This window comes from Homo sapiens, chromosome 5, assembly GCF_000001405.40.
Source record: "Homo sapiens chromosome 5, GRCh38.p14 Primary Assembly".
Lineage (NCBI taxonomy): Eukaryota > Metazoa > Chordata > Mammalia > Primates > Hominidae > Homo > Homo sapiens.
In genome coordinates, this window is record NC_000005.10 from 124,713,473 (window position 1) to 124,741,446 (window position 27,974).

The 27,974-nt window shown below is 39.1% G+C and overlaps 1 protein-coding gene across 8 annotated transcripts in view, besides 3 other annotated features; it reads right to left on the reverse strand.

Moving 5' to 3' along the window:
• Window positions 1-27,974, reverse strand: part of ZNF608 (zinc finger protein 608) — a 111,910-nt gene that overhangs the window by 76,558 nt on the left and 7,378 nt on the right. Inside the window, exon 1 of one of the 8 annotated variants that reach the window (XM_047417448.1) lies at window positions 37-27,920. The exons of the other annotated variants lie outside the window; for them this stretch is intronic. The gene's annotated coding sequence lies outside the window, so the exon portion shown is untranslated. Of the gene's footprint in view, window positions 1-36; window positions 27,921-27,974 lie in introns of those variants that run through there. 8 annotated transcript variants of the gene reach the window in all.
• Window positions 19,753-20,325: an enhancer, noted in NCBI's record as "NANOG hESC enhancer chr5:124068918-124069490 (GRCh37/hg19 assembly coordinates)". NCBI's record gives its function as "activates a minimal SCP1, AML or CMV promoter by ChIP-STARR-seq in naive H9 embryonic stem cells {active_cell/tissue: H9 hESC(naive)}" and the evidence as "EXISTENCE:reporter gene assay evidence [ECO:0000049][PMID:30033119]".
• Window positions 23,958-24,567: an enhancer, noted in NCBI's record as "OCT4-NANOG-H3K4me1 hESC enhancer chr5:124073123-124073732 (GRCh37/hg19 assembly coordinates)". NCBI's record gives its function as "activates a minimal SCP1, AML or CMV promoter by ChIP-STARR-seq in naive and primed H9 embryonic stem cells {active_cell/tissue: H9 hESC(naive and primed)}" and the evidence as "EXISTENCE:reporter gene assay evidence [ECO:0000049][PMID:30033119]".
• Window positions 25,176-25,783: an enhancer, noted in NCBI's record as "OCT4-NANOG-H3K27ac hESC enhancer chr5:124074341-124074948 (GRCh37/hg19 assembly coordinates)". NCBI's record gives its function as "activates a minimal SCP1, AML or CMV promoter by ChIP-STARR-seq in naive H9 embryonic stem cells {active_cell/tissue: H9 hESC(naive)}" and the evidence as "EXISTENCE:reporter gene assay evidence [ECO:0000049][PMID:30033119]".

A 27,974-nucleotide genomic window follows, 5' to 3' on the forward strand; every position in this document is an offset into this window, starting at 1 on the left:
GGAATGTTATTCTCTCCCACAAAAAGAATTTCATACTTCTCATCAGTAGATCTGTATTACCAAAAATTGTGCTCAATAATTGTCATTGGATTTTAAATTTTGTCAATTAAAAAATTCTGTGGAAATTTGTTTTCTCTCTTGTTATCCAAGTGCCTACATAATATCCGTGATGTTGCCTCTTGGCCTGCAAAGCCTAAAGTATTTACTATCAGCCATTTACAGAAAAAATTTGCCAATCCTTGCTCTACTGAATTCAAGAGCTCATTTAGGTTCACTCTTGGACGTTAATATCTGTTGGTGGAGAGGGGGAGGGGAAGTTAACAGTATGTTGGAACAGGGCAGGAAGGAAGTGAAAAAGGAAGTAGGGAGTGGACAGAAGTGTAGGAGATTTTAAAAGTAAACATATAGATCCATCTCTGAATGAAAAATAATAATAAATGTACCTACTACTACCTAACTCTCTTAAAAAAACCTAGGAGTCATAAACCAAAAGAGATATGAGGAGCCACATTCCAGTTCTAACTTAAGCAGTCATAACATAAAACATTAAATATTTATTGAACATCTTTTTATTATACCAGCCATTGTGCTGGGTGCTAATGACAACCAAGACAGACAAGATCCCTCCCTTCACGGAGCTGACAAAGAAGTAAACTTTTTTAAAAAAAACAACATTGTCAATCTATGATACGTCTCTATTCCCAAAAGAAGAAACAACCATCCTATGTAATTGCAATGTGTTTTTGGTAACATTTTCAGTTTGAAAACCAGGATATTTTATCTTAATTGCCCCATAAGTGAATGAATTACATGAAAAAATCAAGTTCTCAAACACATTCTGTTGAGGACTAGAAATGAAACAAGCCCTCCTAGAAACTTGGAGTTCTTTCATCCAGAAGTCTAGTCATGGATGCACAACTAAGACCATCAGTCCCAGAAGCTACTTCTCACAGAGGATGACAGGTCAATGTCACACATCACATGTCTCACTAATGCTTTTGAACTGGGTAATATAGTGTAATAAATAGGAGTGTGGTCTCTGTGCTTCAATCTCAGATCATTTACTTACTAGTATAATCTTGAAAATTTACTTAACCTTTCTAAGCCTCAATTTCCTCACCTATAAAGTGGAGATTATAGTATTACCTAATTGTATTTAATGTAATAGACATATCAAACAAGAGATCCTACATAAAGCCCGTCGTAGTATCTCTATCATATAAGTGCTCAACAAATGTTAGTTATTATTGTCCTTGCCAATACCAATCTCAGTAACACATGTTCATAGGGCTTGCTTAATTTGTCACATGGCTAAACCAACACATTAAAAACATACTGCTGTAGTCTCTGAAAACCAGATGACAGTTTTCAAATTAAATGAAACACTTCAAAATACCTGGGGATGAATTTATAATTGAATATTTAAGGTTCTTTAGAACCAACTACATAGTAAGATTTTATTTGGAGGTAACAGTGATTTTTCTTCTTCTAAAAGCTGACATCCTAGGAGAAATCCCAGCCTAAGAATGAGATCAGGATCTTCTGCTTCTAGTGTTAACATCCATAAGAATTAAGAATGCTTGCTTCAGCTATTTCATAGGGGTACTTCAAGAATCAAATGAAATGGACTCTATGAAAATGCTTCCTCAGCTATTTTATAGGGGTACTTCAAGAATTAAATGAAACAACCTCTATGAAAATGGTCTCAAAAGAATGCCCAAATGTAAATAAAAATAAATGTTATTAACCATTTATTCTTGCACAGTTACCAAGTCAGCTCATTTACTCTTTAACACACAAAAAAAAATGATGCCACAAAGAAATGAAGGATAGCAGGGGTGGTAAACAGGATCACGCTCTCTTGGCATCACGTTTCCAGAATATTTATTATTTATTTTTACAAATGTGTCTAATATCCAAGTACAAGCACCCCACGGGTGACAGAGCTTGCCATATCTGCAGCAAAATAATTATTTCTATTATGCACTCCCTTAACCATTAAAATAATTTCTAGCTAGTTGACAAACACCTGCAATATAGTTTTAGCATTATCTAGACTACATTTAAATCAAGTTGATTTGAATCATGATTTAAATCAGTCAAGAAAAACTATTATCTTCTAAAATTAAAAAATGCATGCTTATTTTTTGCCATAATGGTAATATACACACTTCATAAAGCTCATAGATACATGTACGTATACTGCTTTTAAACAGAAAATATTATTTTTAAGTGGTGTAAAAAATCTTTTCAAATGTTATCATTATTTTTATTTTTAATATTACCAACCAGCCCTTACTTATGCATACATATCTTACGTAATGAAAACCATACTCCATAACTTTTAATGCATTTTTCTCATATTTTATAGCTGCATTACTCTAATATAGGCCGGGCGCGGTGGCTCACGCCTGTAATCCCAGCACCTTGGGAGGCCGAGGCGGGCGGATCACGAGGTCAGGAGATGGAGACCATCCTGGCTAACACGGTGAAACCCTGTCTCTACTAAAAATACAAAAAATTAGCCGGGCGTGGTGGCGGGCACCTGTAGTCCCAGCTACTGGGGAGGCTGAGGCAGGAGAATGGCCTGAACCCGGGAGGCGGAGCTGGCAGTGAGCCGAGATCGCGCCACTGCACTCCAGCCTGGGCGACAGAGCGAGAATCCGTCTCAAAAAAAAAAAAAAAAAAAAAGAAAAGAAAGAAACTCTAATATAGTTGCTTTACGTATCAAAACTAAATGAAGCATCTATTTAAATCACTGAATGGCTATCTTCTCTAAGTTAATCATGGGTATTTTTCCATAGCACATTAAAATCTAATAACCATAACCAAAACAACTTAAATTTAAATTGTTTCATTTAATAAAAAAAAAAAGAGGGGATTTCCTTCAACCACAAGTCATTTAAATAAGCAGCTTAGTTAAGCACCTTTGTTCATCAATGTTAATACTTATCAATAAACATTTATTCCCTGACTATAGTGCTTATTTTAATTACAGCCCTAAAATATACTAGGAAAAAGTAGTGCTCATGTCAAAGCCACTCTTAGGAAGTTGGGAAATAAACTTGCCACCTAGATTTAAGGTCTAAAAGTACTGGATATAAAAGGAAGTACTCAGTTAAATCTTACATGACTTTTGTTTTGGTGGAGTGGGGTAGGGTAGGATAGGTGAAATTTTTTCAGGTAGCTTTAGTGTTAAGTGCATTCTCCTGCATTCTTGCATTCTAGAGCTCTAATAACTCTTTAAACTTTAATAAGTTATTATTAGCCCCACTCCCAATCTTGGTCACAGAACATAATTTTATTCTGAGTAAAAGTTGTACATTTTGGCCGGGCATGGTGGCTCACGCCTGTAATTCCAGCAGTTTGGGAGGCCGAGGCAGGCGAATCACCTGAGGTCGGGAGTTGGAGACCAGCTTGACCAACCTGGAGAAACCCCGTCTCTACAAAAATACAAAATTAGCCGGGCCATGGTGGTGCATGCCTATAATCCCAGCTACTCAGGAGGCTGAGGCAGGAGAATCACTTGAACCTGGGAGACGGAGGTTGCAGTGAGCCAAGATGACACCATTGCACTCCAGTCTGGGCGACAACAGCAAAACTCCATCTCAAAATAAAGTAAATTTTGATTAAATATTTACCCTCTGACACATTTTAAAATTATATAAACTTCTCTTAAAAGAAATGTGATTTTTAAAATTCATTTTTGCTGGCCAGGAGCAATGGCTCATGCCTGTAACCCCAGCATTTTGGGAGGCCTAGGTGGGCGAATCACCTGAGGTCGGGAGTTCGAGACCCACCTGGCCAACATAGAGAAACCCTGTCTCTACTAAAAATTAAAAAAAAAAATTAGCCAGGCATGGTGGCAAGCACCTGTAATCCCAGCTACTGGGGAGGCTGAGGCAGGAGAATTGCTTGAACCCAAGAGGCGGAAATTGCAGTGAGCCAAGATTGCGCCACTGCACTCCAGCCTGGGCGACAGAGCGAGACTCCACCTTAAATAAATAAATAAATAAATTCATTTTTTAAAAATCACAAACCATTCTGATTTAACCATTTCTTTGCAATCTAATATTTGATCTCAAAAATTAAGCAAAGATTAACTAATGTTAGCAAAAAGGCTTTTTTGAGGCTCTGAAACAATACAGTCCAAGGACATGCAAAATAAAGAGCAATAAAATGAGCTTAGATATCATTTAGTCCTTTTTTGTTGTTGTTTTAGTTTTATAAATGAGGAAAGTTAACTCAAGACCACAGGAGTTTGTAGCCAATAAAGACCCAAAACTTAGCAGAAGTTCTCAAAGCCCACCATGTGCATGCGACATGCAACCTGGTTTCATCTCTGCAGTACACAGAGTTCTGGACAGATGGGGGACTCTGGGTGTGTCTGTGGCCAGGCAAGTGTCCCTATAGGGGCAGCGAAGGAGGAAAATGAATCCTATGGCTGGCACCTTTTCCTCTTATAAATCCTTTTTGCTTTCTCTTGCCTGTCTATAAAGCAGAATCACACCTTGACGCAGGGGCTCAACACATAACATGGCTGAGCAATTGGTGCTCTCTCACTACTCCACCCTGTCACAATCTGAGCACAGGCCCACATTCTGCAAACTTCCTTGCTGGTGGCCTCTTCTCTTCTTCTTTCAAAGTGGCATGGCACCAGATGCCATGGCCCCATTCCATTTACCTTGGAGTAGGTAGCAAAAGCAAAACTGGGACCTGCCATCCCAACTTGTACATCTTCCCACTGAAAGCAGGTCATCTTTCTCTGCTTAGCACTCTTTAAATGCCTTGTTAGGGGAACAAAAAAATTCTCTTTCACATGCGTTAAAAAGTCTAATATTTTGTCAAACAGAAATGAAAAATAAACCTAATCTAAGCTGTCAAAGAATCATGAAATGCCTCTGGCACTTCCATCAAAGTATGCAGAATTGTACGAACTCTTTGAAGAAATGAAACTGCAGTTTATCAAGTGTGATTTATAAGCAACACTGATTTAGCTGGTAGATAACACTGCTGTCTAATCATTAGTAGTCAGACAACAGCCATGTGAACACATCAATTATGGGCCACTGCCAAAAGCCCTTGAGATCTTGGAGATTAACAGCCAATCCTCTGTTTTACAAGCTCACATCAAAAAGAATATTAATAAGAGGAGGGGCGATGTGAAAGCTTGTCAGAGTAATTCAGCCACTAAAACAAGGCATTTTTTTTTCCTCTCTTCTCTGTTGAATTGGCCCAAGGAAGAAGCTGGCATCAGCTACAAAGTGCAATGCTGCCAATTTCTTGGAAAATGTTTTTCACTAGCATATGGGAACTTGTAAGGGTCTGCAAAACCGCTATTTGGTGAATAAAGACAGGCAAGCCTTCTCCATGTCCCTTTTTAATGCTGGAATGAAACAAATGGAGTCATTATTAAATTATTTTTAAATTAACATGCACAATAGGAAATCCACTGGCTTTTTCTCTACCCTCAAAATCAGAAATTTTGTAAAATCTCATTACATATATGCCATTTTTAATACTTCTGCCTTCCACCAATATGTAACTAAGAGAAACTACTAGTACGGACCTGCACATTAATGAGTTTCTTGAAATTAACATGGTTCTTTTCAATGTAGAACAAAAATCAAAATGTGTGCCAAGTGCTTACATTTTTTCTTTCCAACTATTTGAAGAAGACAGATATAAATCCCACTGATATTTCTGCAATTAGAATTAAACTAGCTCTGACAACCCATACATAGAAAGCACTTGCAAAAATGTATGTCACAGGCACAGCGTTCGTTTCAGTGATGTCTGTATTTAACACACACACCAGTGAGGATTGCTATATTTTTGTAAATGATCAGACTAAACCAAACAGCTGGCAACTAACAGTTTAGTGGGGTTCCAGCAGGCTCCCTAATGTATGAACATAAGCCACACTGCGAAATGTGTGGCCTGGGTTTCCCTGCCACTTACAGATTTGTTTGCATTCATATCTGTAGAACACTATATTTACAAAGTGTTTTCCTGTTACTTCATTTGTTGTTCACCACTTCAAAATCAGCATGGGGTGGTGGGAAAAACATTAGGAGAGGAAAAAGAAGCATGGGGTTCCTATTGCTTCTCAGTAGTTAAGCTATTTGCCCCCTAAGTCAGTTACTTAATTCAAGGGCTTGTTGACAAGCAATGGTTAAATCAAAGATTCTTTATGTGGGGATCAAAGATTCTTAATCTGGGGTTCAAAGATTTGTGGGGCCTCAGAAACCTTGTAATTACAGAAGCAAAGGTTTCTGCGTTTGTGTACTTTCTCTCTTCCTTTTCCTGGAGAGAGAGTCCATACATGCCCAGTAAAATCCTAACCTACCTAGGAGATGAGAACTGACCCAGTGGCAAATTCAAGGGCAAGAGCTGTGCTTCTTCTTCATTACAATGCATACTCAATAAACATTTGCTAGACTAAAAGCACAGGCATTCATTCTAAACCTCAGTTTCTTCACCTGTGAGCCAGAGCAATGACATACTCTCTTATGATCGTTGAAGTCTGTCAAAACAACAACAACAACAATAACAAAACAACCAACAGGAGTATGGCTTTGGAAGTACTTAAACATAATTTAAGGTGCTACTGAATTCAACAAATGTTCCTTGGGCAGCTAGATGCCAGGCACTGTATAGAGATTACAAATTATTCATTGTATTTTTTATTTTAGAAAAGAAATAGCCTTCTCAGTAAGTAATTTATCTGAGCGAATGTATTTGGGGGCAAGCGGGGTGTCTCAAAAAGGAAACTCTTCCTAGGCTTTGTTGATACTGTATTAGAAGCTCACCACAAAAGATGTTAGATTTCTTGTTAATAGGTGTCATCATCTTCTTTTATAATATATCTGACTATGAGGTTTCTCTATCACCTTTCTGATTATGAAGTTTCTTTTTTCTACCACTTTTCTGGCAAAAATTGTGAATGGTAAGAAATATAAAACTTAGTAGAGGCTCTACAAAAACCACAACCATGCTATAGCTATCTAACACAGCAACACCGGAATTCATTCAGGTGAAACAGACTTTCATGGTAAACATGTATAGCTTCAATCTGTTAAATGTATACTGAAAAGTATACTTTTTGGAAAAATAAATTTTAATAACATGTTGTGTTTAACGGGCAACTTCCAGGTAAAAATAAATCCAACCACTGTTCTTTTCAACAACAATTATGGCTATGAATGACCTATGATTAAAGTGTCAGAATGGGCCGCACTTCATGTTCTTACACAAATTTCAACAGAGATAAAGGGGCCAAATTCATGCCTGAGCTCATAATATCTAATTACACTCCCAACTCCTGGGCTGGCTTTTTTTTCCTTTTTCTTTATCTTCTCCCCCACCCCCACCCCGCAAATTAAATCATTAACTTGGTTTAAACAACTTTCCCAAGGTCACACCTAAGCTATATGTTATAATAAACGCTTCTCTCTTACTTTTGAATAATGACTTAAAGAAAAAAGTAGCATTTCATTTTAGCCCTGAAAGTCATGTGGATAACAAAGAAATCATCAGACAAAAATCTGCCTAATGCAGATTTTTGCAAACAGGATGCCATGACAGTTTGTTATTCTGAGAGCATGACCCTTCTGAATAAGTCATCTTTATTCTTTAAAACTCAATAGGCATGCTCTACCAAACTGGGGAAACCAGGTGCAATATAACTGATTATACAGATGACAATACTGTTAAAGAATTAAAAATGTCACATAAATGCAAGATAGATAATTCCCATCAATGTTTTTGCCAACGATCTCTACATGGAAGAAAAGACAAAAGATGTGGACCCCATGGAGACAGTTTTAAGGCTCTTTTTTCCTCTGTAACCCTACTAAAAGAGAATCCAATTCAACAAATATTGACTGAGCATTTCCTGTAAGAGGGCTCAGTGCTAGGCGCTGGGGAGATAAAAACAAATAAGATGGCATCCATGCCCTCAGGGGTTCCAGGCTGGCAGGGGAAACATGCGCTCACACACCACAGAACAAAACAGCAAAAGTGTAGATAAACGACATGTGTTTCCAGAGCAATAAATAGAAATGGGGGAAATTACAACTGTTTTGGAACAGTAAAGATAGTCAGACAACATAACCAAGAAGCAACTAAGGCTCAGAGCCAGTAGCTGTTGCCCAAGGGTCATAAAAGAACTCAGAGCCAGGCCGGGCACAGTGGCTCACGCCTGTAATCTCAACACTTTGGGAGGCTGAGGCGGGTGGATCGTCTGAGGTCAGGGGTTCAAGACCAGCCTGGCCAACATGGTGAAACCCCATCTCTACTTTAAAAATACAAAAATTACCCAGGCGAGGTGGCGGGCGCCTGTCATCCCAGCTACTCGGAAGGAAGGCTGTAGCAGGAGAATTGCTTGAACCAAGGAAGCCGAGGTTACAGTGAGCCGAGATCGTACCACTGCACTCCAGCCTGGGCGACAGAATGAGACTCTGTCTCAAAAAAAAAAAAAAAAAAAAAAAAAAAAAAAGAACTCAAAGCCAAATCATCAAGTGGGACCAGTCCCCCAATTCCCAGTTCTAGAGCTTCTCTCCCTGGATCATGACCCAGGTAGAAATCAAGAGTAAAAGGTCTGCAGGAGGGAACAATCTACCTAAAGGCCACATGTGGCCAACATCAGCAGGACTTACTGGCTACCTCCACACTGAGAGCACAAGAGCAACATGGCAATTTTCTGAAGCCCAGCTGACTAGAAGAGATGACCTGCATAGATCAGACCTATAGCAGTAATACTTACAACTTCATGCTTTATACACTCCCAAAACGTTTCCCCCTGCCTCCATGGCAATTATCTACATTCTACTAAACCAAAATGGCTAACTAAGCAAAGCTATGGCTCATCTTTACTACTTAAGCAATTCATTTGTGCAGGGATGTTTCTGCCCTAAGATTCCGGGAAACATCAGTAAGTGTATTTACCGGCTGTAAATATTCCTAGGGCTGGAGCTGCAAATCATTAGTCCTTTTGCCTCCCATTTGACCAAGTACACTAATTAACCACCTGTAAAACACCTTAATGAAGTCATATTTAAAGCAATACTGTGATGATTTTTCTATAAATAAACCCTTAAAATACACACACACACACACACACACACACACACACACACACACACACGCAAGAAATTCTAATAACTATTCCTAACATCTCCCTTTTGAGAAAGGGCAGGGAGGTGGGGGTTGAGGGTTGGAGAAGATATCTTCAAATAAGCTATCTGAAGCTTTTGCTAAATGCATACAAAGGAGCCAACCTTTAGAGTTGGAGAATCAGAATAGGGGTTAGGAAGCCTGAGACTGAATATTTGTGGAAATGAAAACAATTAAGCACTCTTCGGATAATTCAGATGCACAGCTATGATTAAGAAATAATATTTATATTAAGAGTTCAATAATTCTGTATACTGGATCAAAAATTATTTAAGTAGAAATACGACCCCCAAACCCAAGAAGGTATGTATCATAACTTCCAGTTAAAGACCATAAAAATAGTTCAACTACCATAAAAGCAGTAGGAGACTTTAAAAAAAAAATTTTTTTTTTTTTTTTGAGACAAGGTCTTTCTGTGTTTCCCAGGCTGGAGTGCAGTGGCACGATCTTGGCTCACTGCAGCCTCCGCCTCCCCAGTTCAAGCAATTCTCGGTTCTCAGCCTCTCAAATAGGTGGGATTACAGGCACGCGACACCACTCCCAGCTACAAGGTTTCTCCATATTGGCCAGGCTGGTTTTGCATTCCTGGTCTCAGGTGATTCACCCGCCTCTGCCTCCCAAAGTACTGGGATTATAGGCGTGAGCCGCGCCCTGCCTTATAGTCAGATTTATAATTCATTGCCTTTTATGGCTAAGGGGTTTTGTATTGGTTTAGGGAGACATTTCTTACTCCAAGGTTAATAAATAAAAATGTTTGGCTGGGCACAGTGGCTCACCCCTGTAATCCCAGCACTTTGGGAGGCCAAGGTGGGTGGATCACCTGAGGCCAGGAGTTCAGGACCAGCCCAGCCAACATGGTGAAACCCCATCTCTACTAGAAGTACAAAAATTAACCAGTCATGGTGGTGGGCACCTGTAATTCCAGCCACTCGAGAGGCTGAGGCAGGAGAATCACTTGAACCCAGGAGGCAGAGGTTGCAATGACCAGAGATCGTGCCACTGCACTCCAGCCTGGGTGATGGAGTGAGACGCTGACTCCATCAATCAATGAATCTGACTATACAGTTTAAGATATTTGCACGGAGTAGGGGGAGGAACAGCATAAACAGAATCAAACGACAAATGAAGAGATGGGAAAAAATATTTGCAAAGCACATAAAAAAATTTGCAAAACACATGAAAAAATTATATATTTAATTATTATACACTGAAATACTTTAAAATAAGAAATGGCCAACAACTCACTAGATAATCAAAGGTTATAAATTATCAATATTTAGGAAAATAAATACAATGGCTTGTACCCATGAAAAATGCAAATTAAAATAATAGATTACTATCAGATTAGCACAGATTAAAGCCAGAAAATTATAACTCACAGTATTAAATTGTAGAAACTACAGGCAATTCATGTTCCACCATTGCTGGGAATGCAAACGGATGCAATCAAGTTGGGGGGCAATTAAATTTTGAAACACACATGTGCAAAGATGTTCAAAGGAACATTTTAAAGGTGCAGATCAGTTTCTTTAATATGCTGTGATTTGTATAAGGGGACAAAAATATAAATATATATTCTTGAACATACGGGGACTATTTCGAGGACATACAAAACTGTTCAAAATAATTGGCTCTAGGGAACAGTCTGGGGGGCATAAGGGGGAAGTAAAACCTACTTTTCATTATATAACATTTTAGTGTAGTTTGAACTTTTACCAATTTCTGACCTCTTTTTTTAATTTAAAAAAAATAGTCAAAAAGTAATAAATGCAACTAATTTCTCAGGGCTCTGGACCAGTCTCCTAAGTAGGAGACATGGTCAAACCCAGGGAGTATGCAAAGAGTGCAAAAAAAAAAAAAAAAAAAGACTGGCATTTCTATTTATATTATTACCTCATCATTTCCAATTTTTTGTTATTTGTAACTTTAGTAAACATCAGCTATATTAATTCAACAGCACGTGTGTGTGTGTGTGTGTGTGTGTGTACACAACCAGAGACACCTGGAATACGTTCTCTGGGGAAAGTAATACTCTTTCAATTAATGTCTTCAGAGAAAGGTACCATTTTGTCCACTCTCTGAAAAAGGACTCAGTATTTACGATCTTGCATGTGAAATCAGTTAATATAATTCACACGGGGTAACATCATCTCCCTCAACCACTGAGAAATGAGAATGAAATCAAAAGCCAGAGGTTAAGCTTAGGATCAGTTCCCACACACTGAGATACGTTTAGAACTTAAGTCACAGCCTGTCCCTCCTCTGCGCAAAGCCCCCCAGTCTCTCCCACCTTTCTGAGTCTTACTTGGTTCTGGAAGGCTCTCTGGAGCCTGGCCTCAAGCTCCATCTTAGATTTCATCTTCTGGAACTCTCCTCTCTCCCTCATCCAGCTTCAGTCACTCTGGTGTCTCCTCAAACACACCAAATACACTCTCCCTCTCCTCGACCCCCGGGGGGATTGTACACAGGTCCTGGGTCTAAAAAGTTCCCTCCACAAGGGGGCCAAATGGCTCCTAACTGTACTCAGGTCCCTACTCAAACATAAACAAATAAAATTCTTCTTTTCCACCATCTCTTTCTACCACCTTCTCCTGCTTGATTCTCCCTTATAGCACGTAACGCCAACCAAAATATATTTATTTGTCTGGAATAAATTTGAATATAAGCTTCATGATAGCAGAGACTTGGTTTCTTCACTACTGTACCTCCAGGACCCAGACTGTGCTAGGCATATAATAGACATTCAAAAAAATGTTTGCTGAGGAAATATTTTTACTAGGTATTTTTGCTGGGTAAACAAAGTAAGGAATGAATAAAGGAATGAACAAATGAAAGAACAGATTGAGACCTGCTTTTATACCTCCCCCATTCTAATTATTTTTGCTGTCAGAACACAAAATGGCCAAAGCTTCTAAACTGTAGGAGGAGGCAAGGAAATGAATATTTAACTGCTGTCTATGACATGTGTATTTTTTTTAATCCCTTAACACAGCAACAATACCCTGCACAGTGATAAAATGAAAACGCTCTAGTTTTTTCCTAGAAAAAACTGTACCACTCCTAAATCTGTACATATTCTCTGACTTTCTCCTGTTATAATGGAGGACTGTCCTAGCTCCAGAGACCCATGGATGCACCCTATTTCAGGACACTGTCTCCTCTCTCTCTCTAGTATGGACAGCTCTTCTCCACCCCTCTCTCATCATTCCCATCAGCATACAAACAGGCTGTGAGAGTTCTCCACTTTAAAAAATGACAGATATTCCCTGATCTCTTTGCCCCTTATAGAAAAGGGTGCTATATTCATAGTGTCCTGTTTTTTCTCACCTCCCACAAAAAATCCAAGCACTCTAATCAAACTTTTTATTTCCCCATCACTACCCTTTACCCCAGAAACGATTTGTGCTAATGTCACCAAAAATCAATTCTGAGTCTCATTTTAACCTGACTTCTTGGCAGCAATTGACACAGCTGATCACACCTTCCTTGCTAGAATTTCTTCCATTGCTTTCCAGAAACACCAGACTGGCTGGGTTTTCTTCCCCCTCAATGGACACGGCGCTGGCTCCTACTGCTCCATAGCCCACCTCTGGGCCCTAGTCTTTTCCATTGGAACTAACTCTAGAGGTGACCTCTTCCAGCCCAATAACTTTAAAGCCCACCTATTTGCCCATAGGTGTCTCCAGCCCTGGCCTTCCTGTGGAAGGACCATAATCACTTGGCAGCCACAGGATATATCAAAAATGAGTCACAACTCTTGATTCCATCCACCTCCAAAATCCAGGTATTTTCCTTAATTCTCATTCTTTCACAACTCCACATATATCCATATCCTCATTATCTCAGGACAACGTGACCATTTCTTGCCACTTCCCACCACTTCCATGCCTACCAAAGAAGCCTATCTTCTCTCACCAGGACCACTGAAAAAGTCTTGCAACTGATTTCCCTTGTCCTCTTCTTGCCTCTCTACAGTCAATTCTCTATACAACAGTCAACAGTAAGATTTGTTTAAAAAAAAAAAAAAAAAAAAAAGTCACTGCCTTGCTCAAAATTCTGAAATGGTTTCTCATCGCATTCAAGCTAAAATCCAAATTCCTTACCATGGCCTACAAGGCCCTGCATGACCTGGCCTCTGCCCAACTCCGAGTCCAATCTGGACATGGGCTGTGCGCCCAACACATATGTGTTACCTGAGTGGATTTAACAGCATGTGCAGTCGGTCAAGAAACAGACTAGGAAGCATCTCCAGACAAAAAAAAAGTGCAAACATCCAACCAACTGGGATTCCGGGCTTTGGATCCTCTCTCAATTCAGCATCAGTTGCTGTATCTGCTCTTTCTCTCCCATCTCAAGCTTGTACTTAACACAGGCCTCTACCCTGTAACAGAGCTTCAAAATCACAGTGAGATCCTACACTTCAACTTCATCCCTTTACCTATAGTTCCTAGCACCAAAGGTCTTACAGTGACAGCAACAGAGTTTTGCAACAAGTGGGCAAATCTCCTCCAGTAAATTTCTTCTCCACTGTGTTCTAAATGTGCCAGGATTTTCAATAGAAAATTTCACAACCCTGTGCTCTGTCAACTCTAAAACCCTCTCCTCTCCCCAAGTCAAGGCTTCAGAGGAAATAAAAAAGTATCACTGCTTATACAGGCTGTACTGAGTTTATCACATCCATTATCTTTCTGACTTCTGTCCTTGGGATTCCAGTTGGTCTTGACCTTGTATAGCTGCCCTCACAGTATCTTTGTCAGTTTATGCATACTACTTCTATTATTTCTCTTTCTCAAATCAATTTCATTGGGTATGTTAGAAATATGCAGAAATTCTAGAAATGAATGTATATGTAAAAAGATATTAACAAATATGGAAAAAAGAAATATATAACATATATACTACTCTCAAGATGGTATCAATCCTCAAGATCTCATTTTCTTATTAGGTCCTTATTGAACTTCACTTCTTAGTTATAAAAGTCCCTTAAAAAAAAAAATCAGACCAAAAAAAAAAAAAAAAAACCACACACATCAGATACAGCTTCAGCCTCATCAGTTGTATCTTGTTGCCAGCTCCAGGTATCCTTTTTTTTTTTTTTTTTTTTTTTAAGACAGAGTTTCATTCTTGTTGCCCAGGCTAGAGTGCAATGGCATGACCTCGGCTCACCACAACCTCCATCTCCCGGGTTAAAGCGATTCTCTTGCCTCAGCCTCCCAAGTAGCTGGGATTACAGGCATGTGCCACCATGCCCGACTAATTTTGTATTTTTAGTAGAGACAGGGTTTGTCCATGTTGGTCGGGCTGGTCTCGAACTCTCGACCTCAGGTGATCTGCCCGCCTCGGCTTCCCAAAGTCCTGGGATTACAGGGGGTGAGCCACTGTGCCGGGCCCCAAGTATCTTAAGAAACATCTGTAAAGGAGGTTCTCTCCAAACACAGCTTTACAAATAGGCAGAAGAGATGACTGCCCAAAGGTGTGATTTAAGACACCAGGAAAGCTCTTATGCCTCTCCTCCTATTAGACCAGTCCCTACCTTTGAATTCCATACCTTGGTCTTGAAAAGTCGACTCACGATGGGATTGAGGTGCTATCTTAAAATCACCTTAAGGGTCATTCAATAGGTTGGTATTGGAGGGCAAAGCTCTTGATAAATGGAGAAAAAAATAGGCTTTAGGTGGATAGGAACATATCAGAAAGATATTTTCAGGAGGAATTTAGCCAAGGGGATCAAAGCAAAGATCACCTCTGCTTTGGGGTGGCTGACATTTTGTTTATCTAGCTCTCCCATGCTGCTGGCAATAATAATAGCCTCACAGACATGTACAGTACTCACTCCTCCACAGGAAGCACCTTCTCTTGACCTATCTTACGCAGATTTTCCATAATCTGAAAATCACTATCCCAACATGTCTGGCCTTCTGCTTATCTTCGTTACCATGCAAGACAACCTCAAACTCGTTCCTTAGCCATTTTTAAATGCTGAAGACTCAATAATCAAATATGACAGCAATTGATATATGATAAATACATATACATTTAGCTCATTCTCTATAGTTCCTGAATATTATTAAATATGTTGATTTATAAATATTTGGGCATATTTCCACTCTAGTGCAAGAAATATATCCATGTTGCTTGCGTTGTAGACTCTAGTACCATAAACCCCACCCACTTAAACAATGCGGACTTTATCAACAGCCCCATAACCTCACCTTCTGTCCTATTTCCTAAACCCCATGACACATCACTCTTCTTTCTCTTCTTATAATTCCAAGTAACATAAATAAAATTCACTATAGAACCCTATTAGCCCACCAACTTCAAAAGCTAATTTATGGGCCCAAGATTTAGGTCAGCAGTATTCTAACTTTACAAAAGGGGAGGAGACCAATTTCTGCCCTTTAAGCGCTCATCTGCACAGGAAGCAACCAGAAGGAGGAGGTCCCTGAGTCGCTTTAAAAGCATCAGTTCTGATTACCGTACTCATTCTGGCATGGCCATCAAATGCAAGAAGTGTGAAGAAGAAATGGATGCTGTTTTAAAAGAAGGCTCGTCCTGACACAGCACACTGATCACCATCTCACTGTCCCTTTCACAAGCTTACTCCGTCTTTGAGCTTCACAGCTGCAGTTTGGGAAGAACAGGCTAGCCCAGGCCTCCAAGAGCATCCCAGAGAGGAAGACCAGCCAATGGAGGTCCTGAGTGAGAGGGACATTTGCCCTAATGTTTGGTGAGGTACCTAACAATGCCCCTAAACCAAGGATAGCGAGTGGCAGCAAAGTGGTATCACACTGGAGCGGAAACCTATTCTGAGCCCGGGAGAGGCTAAACACTCACATTTAGGAAACACTTAAGAACAGAACATAGTAAATCCTTAAACATTAAAAATTACTCCTCTTGTAGGTTGTATTGGTTCGTGCTGTTACAACAAATTCTTTAAGCTGTTCCTTGACTGTAAATACTGTACTTCTATATGTGTATATGTTTAAGTATATATATCTATGTGTGTTTATAAATATAAAATATACATATATGCTATATTTAGTGATCTGTGGTTACTTTTATTTCTTTTTTGTTGTTTACTTGTTGTTTCCCACACTCCCCCAAAGGGTACTTTGAAATCTTTCCAGTTTTTACAATTAAACCTAACCATCTGGACAAAAATCTTCACATTCACTAAATTAGTCACAGATTTTGTGGGTAAGCTGAGAAAGTAAATGCTATGCTCAGTGCTAGGATTTAAACCACATCTACCACAGCAAAACACTCTCTCTCCAATAATCTCTCCAATTATGCACGCACATTCAGGCTCAAATAACATGGAAGCAACTACACCTCACTGCACAGATTTGTACAATTAGTATTATTCCTTAGATCCTGAAGCAACAACAAATCCAAAGTAAAATTATTCAAAAAGCTTTCAGAATTTATTTTACAGACAAAAGATAAAACAGTACCTATTTTTTCACCACCATTTAACTTCCTCCTACTACTGGTGTGTGCTGGCAAGCTGCTCACCAAATGCACAAGTGATTTGAAGAGATCTGTGTTTATGTGTTAAACACTGGCAACAATGTGATTTGAATACATAGGGCATTTTCTAGATTTTTCAAGTGTAAAAAGGCTTCCACCCTCTTCAGAGTTTACTTTAAGTGTCAAAAAAGGAAAATTTAACATGTTTAAGACCCAATATACTTACAGAGCTGAAATCCAACAAGGGCAAGTGATTTCGTGTTGTCATCCAATCACCAGTATATAGCTATAGATATTACAAAATTTCTATCAGTCTAAAACTAGACAGGATTATCTGCTGGAAGTAACTCTTGCAGATGTACTGACTCCAGGTAAATGGAAAAGACTGGTTTTTACAAGGAAATAATGTACAGGAATTTATAGCAGGCTTACGGATGCAAATGCTAGTGTTTCAAAGGAGACTTTAAGCCTTTAATGTGAGCTAAGATAGAGAGTATTAGACTTTGGTGTAAACAGGTTTATAGAAATCATTTTCAGAGTGTCTTAGGTTGGCATTTTTCCTTTCACATTTTATATGGGCAACAAAAAGGATCCACGTCTGTAGTATACAGAACAGGTTAGAGAGGAGAAGCAAGAGACAAGAACTCTTGTTAATATTAAATTGTGAGGGGCCGAAAGCTCAGCACTTACTCTCCATTCTTTATGCTACATGTGAGCACATATTAAACTTACTGAAATAAATTTGTATTTCGGGGGGTTGTTTTTTAAATCCTCAGAAGCATTCATAGAGTGGAGGCACTGACAATTTGGTAAAAAGCTTTCTTTCCAGGAAGGATTAAAACTGTAGAGCAATTTCAAGATTGCAAAGCTTCTAGGCTGTCACAAATATTAAGAGAAGCCATGTTTATCTTTGCACTTTTGTTTTGGTTTGCTAAGTAAACCTAGACTGAGCATTCAGTCAACCAAAGAAATCACATGTAGGTGAGCATCTGCAGGTTTTCCTACTGGTAAGACATGATTTTTTTTTATAACTTTAAAAAGATGTGTTTACACAAATTTAGTCTACTTAGTGACTATGGCAGTGTTATTGTTTTTTGGGTTTTTTTGAGACGGAGTCTCGCTCTGTGGCCCAGGCTGGTGTGCAGTGGCACGATGTCAGCTCACTGCAACCTCTGCCTCCCGGGTTCAAGCGATTCTCCTGTTGCAGCTTCCTGAGTAGCTGGGGTTATAGGTGCGAACCACCACACCTGGCTAATTTTTGTATTCTTTTAGTACAGACGGGGTTTCACCATGTTGGTCAGGCTGGTCTCGAACTCCTGACCTCGTGATCCGCCCACCTCAGCCTTCCAAAGTGCTGGGATTACAGGCGTGAGCCACCGCGCCCAGCCAACTGACACAAGATTTAAAAGTTTGGAGTTTTAGGCCAGGAGTGGTGGCTCATGCCTATAATCTCAGCATTTTGGGAGGCTGAGGCGGGCAGATTACCTGAGGCCAGGAGTTCGAGACTAGCCTGGCCAACATGGTGAAACCCCATCTCAACTAAAAATACAAAAATTAGCCAGGCGTGCTGGTGGGTGTCTGTAATCCCAGATACTCGGGAGGCTGAGGCAAGAGAATCGCTTGGACCCGGGAGGCGGAGGTTGCAGCGAGCCGAGATCGTGCCACTGCACTCCAGCCTGGGCGACAAAGCAAGACTCCATCTCAAAAAACAAAAAAAAAGTTTGGAGTTTTAGACATTAACAGAAGTAAAATCCAGTCTCTTTCCTCACTAATACGGAAAATATTAACAGGAAAGAATCAGGAATGAGCAATGGCACATTAAAAAGTAAGTAGCAGTTTGACAAAACTGAAACTACTTAGACCTAATTTTTTACACTCTCTTTGCTCCCCAATTCCTACAATCCTCTTGTTCACCGCCCCTCAGAAGAAATAGATCTATAAAATGAAGCTATCAGCCATTATTTGGATTCAAAAATCATGCCATTTCAAAAGGATCATGATACCAAAATAATAAATAATACCAGAACTTAAAGCTAGGAGAAAAACAAAACAAGATCACCTAAAGCCAATTCAGATATTTAAAAGTTCAATGTATCAAATATGCATCAATAAACAAATGATTTTAATGTTACAGAAGAAATGGGCTTTTTCATGGCATGCATCCTGAGTTATCAAAAAGAGAGACAGTTTATACACAAAAGAGCAGATTAAGATAAAGGGTTTCACTCCCAAGATTAAAGTAAAAATAAAAACAGTGAGTTGAGGAGTGTTTAGAATGATACTTCTAGAAAATAATGCTAGGTCTTTCCAGAAACCTATTTATTCACAATAAGATTAGAAGGACAAACTGCAACTACAACATGGACAAATGCCATGATTTCTGGTCTTCTAGTCCTTAGGAAAGGGGTTTTTTTGTTTGTTCAAAAAAAAAAAAAAAAGACATACTGACATTCAGGCTGCCAGGCAACTGCTTTTCCCCCTCCAAAACTGCTGTACCACTTCACTGCTGTTGCTGGAGAGTCCCTTTCTATTCAGAAACAGGGCTACTAACTAATGAAATCATGGGGAATTTCTATAAATGGTCCCAATTATTCAAGAGAATGCATTGTCTAGGGCCCTTGCAACAAAAGCTCTACCCCAACCACCCTCTTTCCCACACACCTTTCTTCTACTTTTTACTCCCTAGCTCCACCACCACCATTCCTCCTTAAGTGAGCAAACAGGAAGATTCAGCAAGTCTTCTAGCCCCTCTCTCAGCTAAAAGAACCTTGAGAGTTTTGCTTCCTGACCAGGGAGCACAGAAATAATCTGCCTCCCCACCTTCTTCCCTCCCTCTATACAGCTTAAAAGATGCACTTGGCTAGGCAGTTCTCTCCATTAAACAATTCATTCTTCTTTTGCCTTCTTTGTGAAAAAAAAAAAGGGTAAAAACAGCTGAGCATGATCACAAAACATAACACTGGGCATTCAATTTCTGTACCTTACGGCCTCATTCTTTCACCTCATCCATAGGATTTGGCGACCAAGTAAATCTTAATCTGCAAACAAATGGTTTGCTCTCCAATTAAACCATTCATTCTCTCTATCTCTCTCTCTTTTTTTTTTTTTTTTTTTTTTTCTGTTTGGCGGCTACCCAACCCAAAGACTTCTAGGTTCTTCCATTATTTAGCTCTCCCAATGGTTAAAAAGCAATAAGCTCATTTGGAGTTTATAAAACTATGCACCATCAACAAAAGCATGTAATGCTTCCAAGATGCACAGTGGCTTCTACAAGCACAATGAGGAGCTGTGTGTAGTCTCTCCCCAAACAAAAATGCCCAGGCCCCAATTAAGCACCCTGGGGGCTTTCAAAGCAGTTATGCTAAGTTGCAAATACAGCAAGATCCACTTGAACTCCAACTGTCTTGTGTGCTTTTCCTCCCAAGGTAGGGAAAAAGCCGGGGCAGACTGACCTCATTAAAGGGTAATTAGTGAACCCCAGGACTTGAGGGGCTACCACAATCATTGCTATTGTGAGCATTTCACTACAGGGCCACTAATTTTTTCATTTTTTTAACCCAGGAGGTCTCTGCAATCTGAAGGCCCAACATTTTAAATTTTTAAGGATTTCAATCTGGCTGTTTTTTTCTACTACTAGTCATTGAGTAAGAAGAAAGGAAGCAATACAAAGAGCACTCCGACTTCTTTTGTGGAATTCTGGCATATCTAAAAATAAGTTTTTAGAAAACCATTTAAATAACATATACCCTATATATCTAAGAAATAATTTTGAATAGGTTTTGTTGAAACAAAATGAAATAAATTCTCCACCTCCTGATTAGAGATTCAAAGTGGCACATAAAAGAGCATTAGAAATCAATCAATATAGGGTTTTATGATTATATATGATAAAGATGTTTAAAAAAAACTCATGCATCCATTTACATGTGCAGTTCTTACTCAGAAACTAATACACAGTGATGCGATCAACATAACCACTTTACCATCAATAAAATCCTTCACACCTCTTTAAAGCCCATTATTACTGTTGATATCAATCTGCCAAGATGCTTGAGGACTAAATTCTACTATAAAAGGCACCAGTAAATTTCGCCGTTTACATTAAGAGTAGCACCTTTTCACAAATACTAATCCACTGCCTTGGTACTAAAATTCTCCAGTACTTGAGAAAGCAGTCTTTAAGGCAAGTAATAAAATGGTTGTCTTAACTTGACATTCTCAGCAACCAAGATTTAAACAACTCTAATATTTACATATAATCAGGGGGATCAACATCTTTGTTAAAAAAAATCACTGAAAGAGAGGAAATGGAGTTGGGGTGATAAGTGATGATCACCCTCTATACAGAACCACCCCGAAGCCCAGAACTAGGTCCATTCTCCTAACACTGGCGTACGGAGGGACTGGGAAGACCAAAGTCACAGGAACCCACCTACTATACTGATCTCAGTACAACCACCCCAGCCGCTCGCTGAGGGAGGGTGTGCTCCAGAGACCTACACAAAAACTTGGGTACACATTAATGCCCACAGTAACTTATTTAATGCTACCCTTAGATTTGTGCCAAGCCAATTAATCACTCAATTCGTTTATTTGGGTTTACAGCTTTTGAATATTGAATGAAAGAATTTAAACGTGTGGAACAAAAGTCTTTGTGTTTTGGCCAAAGTATACTTAAACTATATTTAGAAGGAAATGTGTCTGTATATTTCTCTTTTATTAAAACACTGCATAGGGACCGTTCCTTAGCCAAACATCCTTGTTTTATTTTAGAAATACTACAAAATTTATTTGCATTACTTAAACATATGCAATACATTTTGGGAAATCTTGAAAAGATGGAAAAGTCTTATTAAGTGATGGGGGGCAACCATAGTTGCTTTGTTTTGTTTTAATGTACCCAGTATATTCGGCTTTCGGGAAAAAATGCAAATCCTGGAAGTCATTCCAAACAGTTGGAAACTCTTCCTCTTAAAGTAAATCCAAGGGCTCAAAAAATAAATATTCAAGAGCATTAATTTGTTTCTAGATGTGTGCGTGCAAGTAAAACAGCAGTCATAATGTGGAAATTTCAGTCACATTTTGCAACTAATTGGAAGCAGATTAGAATTCTGCCTCAGGGGAACGTTGTCAAACTAGAAGCTGGAGCAAATGAAGAAAGAGGTGAAGGCGTCGTGAAGAGCTGACAGATTTACAGCGCTCAGGGCCATAAACGGGTCCCTGGCGGGAAGAAGGGCGCGTTCCCGGCTGCACGCCCCCGCCGCCCCGTCGGGAACGCGCAGCCCCGGGCCCGAGGTGCCAGCGGCCACGCCCCCAGGAGCCCAGGGCCCTCCATCTGCTCCCATAGCGAAAACAATAAAGGGACCTGCTGAAGAAACCAGTGCGACTGATAAGATAGAAAACCTGCACACTGATAAACTGGAGGATGCAAAAGTCAAAGGGAGAGAAGGCTTCTTTATTTTAAGAATGGGGGAAGGGGAGAGCAAAAGAAAGCAGATTGTGGAGGATAATACAGCAATGGAGTAATGTTTGGAAACAGCTGCTCCCTTTCTACTTCAGTGTCTGGCATCTGCTGCGGCATCATGGGAAAGGCTGGTGAAAGATTTGGGCAGGGAATGTAAATGGAGACAATTGACCAAATGGAGTTGGATGCGGAGAGGCTCAACTGCTCTGTTTTAACATCATGTTGCTCCCTTTTGGGGGCAGAAACAAACAATATTACTTAACTCAAATTACACCTTTAGAGAAGTTTAAAAATTTGGGAATACGAATCGCTTTTCAATTACTGAAGATGTCAAACGATACAAGGGGATAAAATCTAGCTGCAGCCTCCACTTCTCAAAATGTTGAGCTCATCTTCCACACAACTTCACAGAAAAGCTAAAAGGAAGTAGTTTCCTCTGTGTTTCACTTATTTTGAAAAAAAAAAAACATGTTTAATCACCACTGCTTACTTCTTAACTGGCTCAAGGGATAGTTTCTATTTGTTGTGCCTATTTTCCCCTTCGTTGCAAAGATTCAGCTCTAATTTCATTTCCATCACAAAAGAATTGGCAAATAACTAAAGCACGGGAACACATAACTAAAGTGCGGCTGTGCTAGTCATAAGCCTATAATAAAGCACAGATTTGATAGCATTATCCATGTACTGTGGTGAACCACACACAAATAAACAGTTCTCCATGAAGAATGAAAACCCAAGGCTTCAACCCTTCCAGTTCAAACATTTTTGTTGTTTTTAACATGAGCCATCCATAAAATCAGCCAAGGAAGTGACAGGAAATCCAGAAGTAAACTGGTCTGGCTATGCACGCTTTGGAAAAAAAAGTTAGAAGATGCTTTCCAACTCATCCTGATGATGTGTGAGGTGAATAATGGATAAAACTGTAAAATCTAGGTACAAAAACAAAAGGTACTTTTATGCCAGCTGAATCCAAACACATGATGAGTGTAGTTTAAAAAAAAAAAAGTACATTTCCTCCAGCATGGGGAAAATTTTCTAACCTAACTAGGAACAACTTAGACACAACCTTTGAACCTTCAGTGACTAATGCGAAGGACAAAAAGGTATACCAAAAGCGGCCAGAGGGCCAGATGTGCTTTTCCTAAGAAACTAAACCAGGAGTTTTCTTTAATCAAAAGGACAAACAGTGACTTCCAGGAGTTTATGAAAGTGTGACCAATTGGAACTTTGTCGTCTGTTGCTAATTGAGGCATATAAAAGAGTCCACTTCTTAAAACATACTACTAACACTTTTTTTAAAAATTCTCTGCCACATGACAAAAACCAGAATCGAGTTGACTGGTAGAAGATCAGTGCAACCAAAGACCAAGCTATTATTTCAAACTGTCAGGGGAAGGCAGTAAAATTGCTACCAGGTCTCCTTAAGTTACCCTTCAATGAAAAGAAGCCATCAGGGAAATAAGAGGAAAAGAAAACACATCAAAACCTTAAAAGTCCCTTTAAGTAAAATTATACGTCTGTGGCACCATGCCATCTGCTCTCTGGTTAGCATAATAAGCCAATTCCACAACCTAAATATCTGCTTTCTGAAATCATTATGTACAACACAAAATATAATCAATATATTTTTACTTGCTTTTTAAACTGTAAAAGCTACATTCATGTGGCATTATTGGAATATGCCTAAATGTCCCTGCAGACACATTTTTCTTAAGGTGCTAGCTGACAATGAGGATTCCCAGGAGGCAGAAAGCTCAGTAGTTGGGTTGGAATAGTCACAGTGAATGATATTCAAACTAGGTCGGGGGGTGGAAATGAGAAAGAAGAGTAAGTGGCTTTGAAAAATCCACAGAAGTATTTGTTCATCATTTCAAACCTATTTGTTCTAACCGAAACACCTTTTCCTTTGAGTTCTTTATTACAGTTACAATATATACCTTTAAGTTTTCATTTAGTTTCACTGGGGGGAAAAGCCTTCTGAATACCAGATGGGATCCCTGTGGTTCAAGGCCCACAGACCTAGCAAAATATAAGTATTTGCTTTGTGATCATTTCAGTTCTTAAGGCAAAACCCATCATCTTTTCTACTACATTCCCAAAGGTATTTCCAAGAAAAATTTAGCAAATATGCAAAATTCAGCTTTAGGAGCAAAGTCTCACTTTGGATATGCAAGAGGTTGCATATCCTTTGAGCTCTCAAAATAACATTACAAACAGCCCAACTGCTGGTCAATCAACTATGAATAGTTTAACAACCTTTCATTCAGTTGCAAAGGCTTTGTTCCCATTGCCAAAACCTTGAGCTTAAATTAAAAAGAACTTGTGACAGGGAGCAAGTAGTCACTAGTGAAACTGCAGTTGGGAGAAAGAATTAGACACAGAGGGAGAGGTCCATATATTCTGCAACAGAGTGGAACGTAAAACCAACAGTGAACATTTTTTAAAGAATAAAACCCATACTAACTAAATACTCCCAATCCAACATCTGTATATGCAGTTACAACATTTATATACACACACCTATGACATACCAGTTACAGGGCACCAATATCATACACATATTACTTACTCTCTAATGACAGTCTAAGTCATCACTGAGGCAGGGAGCTCACCTGTTCTCCATCCCTTTAATCTTCAATGACTACATTAGGAGAGTATTATGATCATTTATCAACAAGAATCCTAGCGAAGAAGGGTTATTTTCCCTAAGATGTTGCTAACAAGGATAGCCCAGTATTTCCTTAGTTCTGACTTCCATATAACACAGGAATGTAATACAAGTAATTTAGGAATAAAGTGTTTTGTATTCAAGCAAAACCCTTGATGTTCAGATTGCTGGCAAGTTCAGAGTGCTGGCAATCAAAACTATGTTGTGCTGCAGTAATTACTATGAAAAACTTCCAGTGCTTAATATTAAAGAATAGAATAACATGATCCTGCCACCTCTTCTACACCTCTAGAGTGTGTTCAATGTGGCAATTATCTTCCTTCAAGAAGCAGAGAGTTTAAACTGCATTGAAACTCAATTATACTCATGACTTTTGAAAACATACACTCCAAGTCAGGTTTCATCACATTCAAATCACTGCACAATATCTTATGAAACAGATTTTATCCCCCTCCCACAAGACATCTTCAAGCATAAAAATGACTTATTTTCAGCTCTGTACCCACTTTTCACTTTATTAAAGTAGAGGGATGGCTGAGCAATGCTGAAAGACAAAGAAGGATCTCAACTGATAAAAACAATTCAACGTGCAGCTCTCCCACACGTCATTACCCAGGCAGCCTAGAGCTGCCACCACGTTAAAAAACCAGATCACACACTTGTTAACAAAAAACACATTACTTTGCTACTTTTAAGAATGCAAAGAACTAGGAGTAGTAGATTTATGATTTAAGTGCTTGTGGCTAAAATAGCTTTCCAATTATCAAGGGCCTCTTAGGAAGAGCAAGAATGCATTATGTGTTAATGACCACAACCAGGGGTCCCTTTCTCGACTCTTTTGTCAGAACCCAAGCAGATCCTCCCCGCAGCTTCACCATTAACATGTCTGTTTCCTGTCAGGCCACTCAGAGATAATGTCATTTATCTCAGGGAGGCACAAGCCCAGTCATTAGCTTCAATAAAAGACCTCAAACAAAGGCCGGATAATGTTTTACCCAGGGCTCTAACTAAACCCAGAACCAAGATTCTTAGTGTCTAAAAGTCAAGGACTCAAAAGTTACCCTTCCTTAAAAGGATATTTTCCTCATTATCAACAATCCTAGATTACAGCTCTGAACAAGAGCAAGGTCTATGTATAGTAAACACCAGTCCACAGCAATATCACACACAATTAGATTAACTGATAAACGCTGACCAGAGTTGGCGTGAGAGCCTTTTCCCCTCCTTGCCTCCAGGGGGAAAATTGACAGAATAATTCAAGTACTGACTAAATAGTCAGATCTTTGGAAAAGCTGACCGCTCATTGTGATTGCCTGCAGGAACTGTATAACCATTATAAAGTGTTCAATGGCTGGGCTTCTGGAAATCTTTTAAATAAAAGTGGAACTGGTTAAAATAAATGCAGGAACATGTGTTTTCACAGTGTTGCTCATATTACTGCAATTTCAAGTTTCTATGAAGTACCAGGTGAACTTTTTTAAATTAAAAAAGAATACACGCGCACACACAGACACCGTCGAAACTGGAGCAAATCGCAGCCATTCAATCCCTCTTTTTCACGCTGAAAACGAAGAACAGATGGTACTTTCCATGTTGTTCGAATCTGGTTATTGAACACCTCTGTGGTTAGGGAGATTTCTGCTTAGCACTTTCGGCATACATTTCATTTACTAACTATAAAATGCTGCTTAGGAAAAATAAGTCTTTATAACAGTCTAATTAAAACCATCTTGCAGCCAAGCAATTTCACTTGAAGAGCATTCTTAACCTCACGACATTTGGACTATCAATCCCTCCCCCCACCGTTTTTTACAGACTATTTGCAAAGTTATTAAAAGTTGCAAAACATTATTTATCTCCTATAGGACAATCTTGATCAGTTATGCATATTCCTTCTCTCTCCAGCAAAGCAAACGGATTTCACACACCAAAGTCAGAATTCAGTGATGGGTCTGATTACACAAATACCTAAGTTCCATGTGTTCTTGGGGAAAGGGCAGCCCCCTCCCTCAAAAAGCCCTGTCACCCTGTGAGGAGGCCTATAGAAAAGTAAGGAGCTGGATCAATGCTGATTTGGACGCCACCCTTAGTTACCAACGTCTTTAACAGCTAAACCTCTTATGTAGCTTTCAAAACAGTTTGCTGTCCGACAACAATGGACTCTGTTCTTTAATTATAGCAAGTGACCCCTCTGCCCTTTTATTTCACAGTAGATACACTACACTCTAGGCAGAATTCATATGGGACACTATATTTGAAAAAAAAAAAAAGCATAATGTCCACAAAACTCATTAATCAAAATATGTTCTTAAACTGCTCACACTCACTTAGAAAATGTGCCAGAATTCCCTGGTGAAGTATAAAAAGGACTCTACAAAAGAATAAAATAAAATGAATGATATCCTTTATGGACAGGTCCATTTGTAGACACCACCTTTATGACCAGGGCCATCTTAATGAAAGCAATATGATATTACAGAAATAATTCTCTTCCCTGAATAGGTATTGAGACACAACTATATGACCTCTTGTGCCTTTCACTTCTGTTTAAGTATCAGCCACTTTTAGGATTTTTGAGTTTTTGTATATATTTTTGAATTTTCCAGAAATCAAATAAACCCATCAACTTTACATATAAACTGTTTATTTATAAAGCCCAGCTGAATGCCTCCCTATCTGATAAGTCAAAACTGTAAGATGGCTAGGAGGATACATAAAGAAGAGCTTCAATACAAGGCTATTATGCTTCACAAGAAAGGAGGGGAAGGTGGAGAGGCAGGTTTTAACAACCAAAAGCCAACCCATCAAATCTACTTATTCAGACATGTCACTGGTGGCTTAACCACAAAATGGGCTACAGAAATATAGCTCAAACATCTTAGAATTATGGCATGTTTTGATTTTGTTCACGTATTAAGGGAGTGGCGACTTTTACAACATACTTGTGGTTTCCACATAAAGGAGTAGAACACTCATTGATTTAATTAGGTTTCATAAGGTCCAATTTATCATGTTTTACATGACTTTGTGTAGTGAAGAAACAGAATAAACAGACCAAAAATAGACATTTAAGCATGCATGCTATGAAAATTAACCGGTGACAGCAAGTCTTATGAATCTCCTGTGAACCTTCCAACCAGAAAAAAAAAAAAAAAAAAAAAAAAATGCACACACACATACACTCCCCCCTTT